The following is a 9,603-nucleotide window of genomic DNA, read 5'->3' as shown; positions in this document are numbered from 1 at the left end:
GATTTTTGCATCAATGTTCATCAAGGATATTGGTCTAAAATTCTCTTTTTTGGTTGTGTGTCTGCCAGGCTTTGGTATCAGAATGATGCTGGCCTCATAAAATGAGTTAGGGAGGATTCCCTCTTTTTCTATTGATTGGAATAGTTTCAGAAGGAACGGTACCAGTTCCTCCTTGTACCTCTGGTAGAATTCGGCTGTGAATCCATCTGGTCCTGGACTCTTTTTGGTTGGTAAGCTATTGATTATTGCCACAATTTCAGCTCCTGTTATTGGTCTATTCAGAGATTCAACTTCTTCCTGGTTTAGTCTTGGGAGAGCGTATGTGTCCAGGAATTTATCCATTTCTTCTAGATTTTCTAGTTTATTTGCGTAGAGGTGTTTGTAGTATTCTCTGATGGTAGTTTGTATTTCTGTGGGATCGGTGGTGATATCCCCTTTATCATTTTTTATTGCATCTATTTGATTCATCTCTCTTTTTTTCTTTGTTAGTCTTGCTAGCGGTCTATCAATTTTGTTGATCCTTTCAAAAAACCAGCTCCTGGATTCATTAATTTTTTGAAGGGTTTTTTGTGTCTCTATTTCCTTCAGTTCTGCTCTGATTTTAGTTATTTCTTGCCTTCTGCTAGCTTTTGAATGTGTTTGCTCTTGCTTTTCTAGTTCTTTTAATTGTGATGTTAGGGTGTCAATTTTGGATGTTTCCTGCTTTCTCTTGTGGGCATTTCGTGCTATAAATTTCCCTCTACACACTGCTTTGAATGTGTCCCAGAGATTCTGGTATGTTGTGTCTTTGTTCTCGTTGGTTTCAAAGAACATCTTTATTGCTGTCTTCATTTCGTTATGTACCCAGTAGTCATTCAGGAGCAGGTTGTTCAGTTTCCATGTAGTTGAGCGGTTTTGAGTGAGATTCTTAATCCTGAGTTCTAGTTTGATTGCACTGTGGTCTGAGAGATAGTTTGTTATAATTTCTGTTCTTTTACATTTGCTGAGGAGAGCTTTACTTCCCAGTATGTGGTCAATTTTGGAATAGGTGTGGTGTGGTGCTGAAAAAAATGTATATTCTGTTGATTTGGGGTGGAGAGTTCTGTAGATGTCTATTAGGTCTGCTTGGTGCAGAGCTGAGTTCAATTCCTGGGTATCCTTGTTGACTTTCTGTCTCGTTGATCTGTTTAATGTTGACAGTGGGGTGTTAAAGTCTCCCATTATTAATGTGTGGGAGTCTAAGTCTCTTTGTAGGTCATTCATGACTTGCTTTATGAATCTGGGTGCTCTTGTATTGGGTGCATATATATTTAGGATAGTTAGCTCTTCTTGTTGAATTGATCCCTTTACCATTATGTAATGGCCTTCTTTGTCTCTTTTGATCTTTGTTGGTTTAAAGTCTTTTATCAGAGACTAGGATTGCAACCCCTGCCTTTTTTTGTTTCCCATTGGCTTGGTAGATCTTCCTCCATCCTTTTATTTTGAGCCTATGTGTGTCTCTGCACGTGAGATGGGTTTCCTGAATACAGCACACTGATGGGTCTTGACTCTTTATCCAATTTGCCAGTCTGTGTCTTTTAATTGGAGTATTAAGTCCATTTACATTTAAAGTTAATATTGTTATGTGTGAATTTGATCCAGTCATTATGATGTTAGCTGGTGATTTTGCTCGTTAGTTGATGCAGTTTCTTCCTAGTCTTGATGGTCTTTACATTTTGGCATGATTTTGCAGCGGCTGGTACCGGTTGTTCCTTTCCATGTTTAGTGCTTCCTTCAGGAGCTCTTGTAAGGCAGGCCTGGTGGTGACAAAATCTCTCAGCATTTGCTTGTCTGTAAAGTATTTTATTTCTCCTTCACTTATGAAGCTTAGTTTGGCTGGATATGAAATTCTGGGTTGAAAATTCTTTTCTTTAAGAATGTTGAATATTGGCCCCCACTCTCTTCTGGCTTGTAGGGTTTCTGCCGAGAGATCCGCTGTTAGTCTGATGGGCTTCCCTTTGAGAGTAACCCGACCTTTCTCTCTGGCTGCCCTTAACATTTTTTCCTTCATTTCAACTTTGGTGAATCTGACAATTATGTGTCTTGGAGTTGCTCTTCTCGAGGAGTATCTTTGTGGCGTTCTCTGTATTTCCTGAATCTGAACGTTGGCCTGCCTTGCTAGATTGGGGAAGTTCTCCTGGATAATATCCTGCAGAGTGTTTTCCAACTTGGTTCCATCCTCCCCATCACTTTCAGGTACACCAATCAGACGTAGATTTGGTCTTTTCACACAGTCCCATATTTCTTGGAGGCTTTGCTCATTTCTTTTTATTCCTTTTTCTCTAAACTTCCCTTCTCACTTCATTTCATTCATTTCATCTTCCATTGCTGATACCCTTTCTTCCAGTTGATCGCATCGGCTCCTGAGGCTTCTGCATTCTTCACGTAGTTCTCGAGCCTTGGTTTTCAGCTCCATCAGCTCCTTTAAGCACTTCTCTGTATTAGTTATTCTAGTTATACATTCTTCTAAATTTTTTTCAAAGTTTTCAACTTCTTTGCCTTTGGTTTGAATGTCCTCCCGTAGCTCAGAGTAATTTGATCGTCTGACGCCTTCTTCTCTCAGCTCATCAAAGTCATTCTTCATCCAGCTTTGTCCCGTTGCTGGTGAGGAACTGCGTTCCTTTGGAGGAGGAGAGGCACTCTGCTTTTTAGAGTTTCCAGTTTTTCTTTTCTGTTTTTTCCTCATCTTTGTGGTTTTATCTACTTTTGGTCTTTGATGATGGTGATGTACAGATGGGTTTTTGGTGTGGATGTCCTTTCTGTTTGTTAGTTTTCCTTCTAACAGACAGGACCCTCAGCTGCAGGTCTGTTGGAATACCCTGCTGTGTGAGGTGTCAGTGTGCCCCTGCTGGGGGGTGCCTCCCAGTTAGGCTGCTCGGGGGTCAGGGGTCAGGGACCCACTTGAGGAGGCAGTCTGCCCGTTCTCAGATCTCCAGCTGCGTGCTGGGAGAACCACTGCTCTCTTCAAAGCTCAGCTGGAAATGCAGAAATCACCCGTCTTCTGCGTCGCTCACGCTGGGAGCTGTAGACCGGAGCTGTAGACCGGAGCTGTTCCTATTCGGCCATCAAGACGCCATAAAGAATTTTTGTGATTCAGTGATCATTTTAATGGAGGGTGATGTATGCATGCACAAATGCAATGCGCCTGGGAAAGTGCATTGATGAAATCTCACATAGGGATCTGTACAGATGAATAGGGATGGCAGCAGGGCTGGAGATGGAAACTGATAGATTAAAAAATAGTTTCAGTGTAATATGAAGCTGTATTAACATCTCCCAGCAACCTTAGCACTGGTATGTATTTGGAAACTCCTAGTAGAAACCACCATGACAAGCGTGAGACCTGTGGACTAGACCATTTCTATAATCTCTCTTAGCTATCAAAATTTCACAGTTTCAAAGTTTCTCTATTAATACCAGTTATAGCCAAGCATCCGGCGTCATTCCCTATCGCATCCCTTTTGTTTACTGTGCCCTTGGCTGTTGAAGTAGTTTCCCCACTAATCTGTAAATTCCCAGAAACCAAAAACCACATTTACTCTCTTCTCTCTGCATCTCTGCTCAGGTATCAGAGCTGTGTCTTATTCCACATCTGCCTTCTTCTCTCCATATCTCTGATCAGGTATCAGAGCTGTGTCTTATTCCACATCTGCCTTCTTCTCTCCATATCTCTGATCAGGTATCAGAGCTGTGTCTTATTCCACATCTGCTCTCTCCTCTCCACGTCTCTGATCAGGTATCAGGGCTGTGTGTCGTTCCACATCTGCTCTCTCCTCTCTGCATCTCTGATCAGGTATCAGGGCTGTGTATTATACCACATCTGCTCTCTCCTCTCCGCGTTTCTGATCAGGTGTCAGGGCTGTGTGTCGTTCCACATCTGCTCTCTCCTCTCCGCGTCTCTGATCAGGTATCAGGGCTCTGTGTTATTCTGCATCTGCTCTCTTCTCTCTGTATCTCTGATCAGGTTTCAGAGCTGTGTATTTTTCCACTGGTGCTCGATGGATTCTTGTACACTTTTTGGCCTGATATGAGAGCCCTGAAAAACCTGTGTATTTTTTGAGTCCACTCCGAAGAGATGGCAAAGTCTCCAGTCTTCCATGACCTAATTAGCCACACAGTACCTACAGTACAGCAGAGCCGCTCAGGAAGAAAATGGCTCCAACATCCTTCTCCCCCAAGTCCAAAGTCTTTGATGCAATTTAAATGGAGGGACAGAATAGAGCTCACTTCATTACTCTGCCATTTTAACTGAATGCTCTTTGACTTAATTTTATCTCAATGAGTATAAAGTGTCGAGAGACTCTCCCATAAACATGGAGTTGCCTGTGACAGCTTCTGGGAAGGAGCCCCAAGGGGAGAGGATGGTGATTTACAGTACACTAACAATGCTGCAGAACAGCTTTGGCACCAGAAGTTTCTAGGGCTTAATTACTGCCTTTAAAATTTGAGCCAGAGTTAGGCACGAAGCAGTACCCACCGGAAAGAGGTGGAGAGACGGAGACAGACAGGGAGAGAGACGGAGAGAGAGAGAGAGAGAGAGAGAGAAAGAGAGAGAGAGAGAGATAAGCATGATTGCATAGCAAAGAAGAGACTTGCAGGTGGATGTTGGTGTTATTCTGTGTCTCATGTCCTATAAAGACACCAACCTGCAGAATTCATCATTCTTACTATGGACAATTCCATCAATTCTTTCTATGCCCAACATTTACCATATAAGAAGACCTGAACCCTTTGAGCCCAACTGAAATATTCCATCCAGAAGGTGTTACAAGACTTACCTGGTTCTGAAAAGATATCAGGATTTTAAAACTATTCCTTTTAGGCAGTCCCTTGTCAAGGATTTTAAAATTCCAGTATTCTCAGAAAAATATTCACATACTTTTAATTCTGTGACCTATCCCCCCAACACCCATTTACCTTTAAATACGCTATATTTTTAGGGAAATGCAAAGATGCTAAAACAAAACACATAAACAAGCCCCCAAATAATGCTGGCTGGCTAGCTGTTTTAAGAAATAAAGATATTTTTTAAAATAAATCTTTTCAAAATGTGGTACATATTTTGAATACTATGGAATACTATGCAGCCATAAAATGCAAAAATACCATGGAATACTATGCAGCCATAAAAAAGAATGAGATCATGTCATTTGCAGTGACATGGATGGAGCTGGAGGTCATTATCCTAAGTGACCTAATGCAAGAACAGAAAACCAAATACTGCATGTTCTCACTTATAAGTGGGAGCTAAATGATGAGAATACATGGACACACAGAGGAGAACAACACACACTGAGGCCTATCAGAGGGTGGAGGGAGGGAGGAGGGAGATGATCAGGAAAAATAACTAATGGGTACTAAGCTTAATACCTGGGTGATAAAATAATCTGTACAACCAACCCCTGTGACACAAGTTTACCTGTATAACAAACCTGCATATGTGCCCCTGAACTTAAAATAAAAATTAAACAAAAATAATAAATAAAGCTTCTCTCCTTTTCCTCTTCCTTCCTGTTCCTTCATTTTCCAAGTGACAATTGAGAAGTCACTTGTTATTAAGAGGAGCTGGATAATGCCCAGAGTTTTTCATTTAATGGGACAATTATGCCTCTTGTGTCCCCTTCTGTGCTCAGTTGATTGTACTTCAAGAATTTAGAGGCTTTCAGCCTGAGGGCAATATTCAGAAAACCAGACACGAATTTCCCACAGTCCTAAGGAGAGGTGTAAAATGTAAGTGCCTGGGAGCTGAATTTCAAAGATGACTAGAAATTCTGAAATCTACTTTTAGCAACCAAACTAAACATTCTGGGTGATCCCTGGCCTATGGGGGCAAAGAGCTCTGTGGGTAGAGAGACTACAGAGGAAGTGGGGAGTTCACCTCTTTTTACCTGGCTTGCCTCATTTCCTGGGACTCCTTGTTCCTCATTCAGCCTCCAAGATATCAGAACACATGTGGTTCCTGCAGGTTCAAAGCCCTCCCCCATGACTTTGTACAAGTTGTCTTCCCTCTCTACTTGATTATTGGAAACTAGCTCAAATATCAGTTTCCCCAGTAAAAAGGATGTGTTCTCTGACCTTCTCTTCTCTGCTAGACACACTCCTTCTCTGCTTCCTTTATTCCTCATTGTCATCCTTATTATGCAGAAACTCGATTCAGCTTTCCTCCCGTGGAGAGTGAATTCTAGAGACCATGGAAAATGTCTTCTGATTTCTGTAGCAGCACAATCTAGCATGTAGCAGGAGTTCAACAAATATTTACCAGCTGTCTTAGTCCATTGGAGCTACTAGAACAAAATACCATAAATGCGTGGCTTATAATTAACAGACATTGATTTCTCACGGTTCTGGAGGGTGGGAAGTCCAAGGTCAAGGCACCAGCAGATTCTGTGTCTGTGAGGGTCGGCTTCCTGGTTCATAGAGATGTTCCTTCGCTGGGTCCTCACGTGACAGGAGAGGCAAGAGAGCTTTCTGGACCTCATTTATAAAGGCTCTGATCCATTCAAGAGGCCTCTGTCCCCAAGACCTAGTCACCCCCCAAAGGTCCCTACTACCATACATCCTAATCCTAGCCCTTTGAAGTTAGGGTTCAACACATGAATTTGAGGTGTTGGAGCACAAACATTTAGACCATAGCACTGACAAACAGACTTCCCATTCTGCATGTGTGCTATCCATTTTCAGTATTATAGAAAAACACCTGTCAAAAAACTCGCAGGTCATTTAAAAGCATATGAGTCATGGCTGGATAGATGCTGACCTGAAATTTTCTACCTTCCTAGAAGACAAAATAAGGAGGAATTGGGTGTGACTCAGAAGGACCCCCCCCCCCCACCCACCCGTTATGTTGCTATGACATGAAATGGATCAGTGTGAAATCATAACGTGGTTGGAAAACTGCTGCCTAGGAAGCACCGTCACTGAGTGGGGCTTTGAAGGAGGAGAAGAAAATCATTTAACAGGACGGAACTGTGCTACGCGGCAAGCCTCCTTGGTAGATTAAATGTATGAGTCACATTGCCCTTAGTGGGCGCGTTGTCCATTATCCCACTGAGTTCTCTGATCCTTGTAGCGCACTGTGTCAATTACACGCTCCAGGATTTACGTCAAACTTGCCGGGAGCCAGAAATTGTTCTGTGAGATTGGGAACTAGAAGAATGAACTCCCAATTATAAACAGGAGAGGATGAAATTTGCTTTCTATGATGTGTGTGGGAGGGGGTAGTGTGTGTAGGAGTTGGACACAATAGGTTTTCTATTGCCTTGTATCATCTTTTTTTTTTAATGAATTCACTTGGGTATAGAAAAACTCCAGGGAAATGATTTTAGATCACTTAAGAATACATTTATAGCCTATCAGAAAGGGCTGTGGTGAAAGGAACAGGTCACAGGCTCAGTGAAACGGGGTCCCCATCTTGGTACTGTCACTACTGGCTGACCCTGAGATCGTCTTAATCACCTCTCCACTCTTTAGTTCTCTCACTGTGGAAAGAGGAGTTTAAACTAGATGATCTCTTTCCAGTTCCAAAATTCTGCAATATGAGACACTATGTCTCTTCTTAATAGTGTCCTTAACACTACAACAGAGCATTTCAGCTTTACCCTCTAAGAATTATTTTATTAAAGTGTAGGTAGTTAATAAAGAATGAGTTAGAGACGTTTAAATCTAAGCTTCAGGAAGTGAGTTTTTACCCTAAATTTACTTACATATAACTTATTAGATAATGATGTAAAGGAAGGAGAATGGTTATTGAATGAGCTCGCTGAATAAATATTGACCCTGAGCAAAATCTTTGGTAGCGAGCTTTCAGGAGATGCAGTCTCTAAGGCACTAGAATCACTTCTTATTTTGATTTTTTCTGAAATATTTTCAAGACCACTGTAAGCAAAATACTGTTGATTATACAAATGGTTTCCCTTTCTCAGGGTTCTGTGTTCTTGGCAATTGGTTAAAGAGTGGATAAAGTACACTGCATTTTTGCTATGTCTTTTATGAGTTTGAACACATTGTGATCACAGATTGGAAATCGTTGAATGAGTGGGCACGGGCAGTAAGACGCATAGAGGTTTATTGGTCAATATCAAAAGAAATGAGCGGTGAAAAGTGAGGCTGACGCATGCCTACATTTTATGGATGAGCAAATGGATAAAAAGGGAACTGTATTTTATTATACAGTGAATTAATGGGGTGGAGGAAGGATTGGGATTTCTGACTATCTAATCTGGTCTTCAGCCCTAAAACATAAAACCCCCCTGACAAACCTGGGCTCGTTGCTTGAGGAGTTTGCATCTGGGCTGAAGGCTCCCCACACCACAGGTCCTGTGCTGTGCTGGAAGGAATTTTAGTTCAGAGGGAAGAGTGAATGATTGGAAATAGGTTTTTACTAACTTTTATTGTTCTATGAGTAAACAGAGATCATTGGTCTTCAAAGCTCTTTTTGTAACCCCTGAGTTCAATTATAGTGTGGCTATAATTCCAGGACTCTCTGAACTGCACCTACACATTATTCTCTGCACAGATCTTTAACTTTAACAGCTATTCATTAGTTCAAGAGACCTTTGCTTTTATATGAATCACAGTTTAGTGGGCATAGAAAAAGGTATTCATTCTACACAGCTGCTACTTTATTGGAACAATTCATTTAAAAAAAATTACACTCTGACCTTTTGAAAATGGGACAGAAGTTTTCAAAGTCTTTCCAATTATTAGATAATTCGCTGAAAAGCTGTGATTCTGTTTTTGCTTCTTGACTTATAAAGTGGTTCTTATAATACGTAGATCCTCACACTTTGAAAGGGAGGTTAGCTATAAATAAACTCTGCACAAATGATATTTTCACAGGAAAACATAATAAAACTCTCTGTGATGCCATCCTGCTGGGCCATGGAATCCCAGGAAAGGGGCCTAAGGGGGTCTTTATTTCATAGGCGAGTGGAGGTGGTGATCAGAGTGAATGTCATAGAATGTCCTTACATAGAACGTCCTTTAGCTACAACTGTAAGCACAGGATAAATGGTCCTTCAATTCTAGAGAGGTCTTAGGGTGTAATGGAAAGAATATCACCATTAAATGCCAACATGTGGGGAACAGACTTAGAGAAAGAGCTGGGATCAGTTTTGACATTGAAGGCTGGTTAAGAAGAAACAGAAGAGGATGAGAGTTACTCAGGGACACTACAGTTCTTTGCATGGACATGCTGGGTTAACTAGGGACAAACAGCACACAGAGAAACCCTTGTCTAAAAGAAATCTTCAAACCAGTCAGAATGGCTAATATTAAAAAGTCAAGAAATAACAGATGCTGGCGAGGTTGTGGAGAAAAGGGAATGCTTATACACTGTTGGTGGCAGTGTAAATTAGTTCAATCCTTGTGGAAAGCAGTATGGTGATTCCTCAAAGAGCTAAAAGCAGAACTACCATTTGACCTGGCAATCCCATTACTAGGTATATACCCAGATGAATATAAATCATTCTACCTTAAAGACACATGCATGCAGACACTAGGATTAAGATGATGAGGTGGAGGCAAGATTAGCTTGCAACCCCCACTCGGATGGACAGGGCAGTGTGTGGAGACTCACACTGTGAA

Source organism: Homo sapiens, chromosome 10 (genome assembly GCF_000001405.40).
Source record: "Homo sapiens chromosome 10, GRCh38.p14 Primary Assembly".
NCBI classification, from domain to species: Eukaryota; Metazoa; Chordata; class Mammalia; order Primates; family Hominidae; genus Homo; species Homo sapiens.
Note: the sequence above shows the minus strand (reverse complement) of the source record.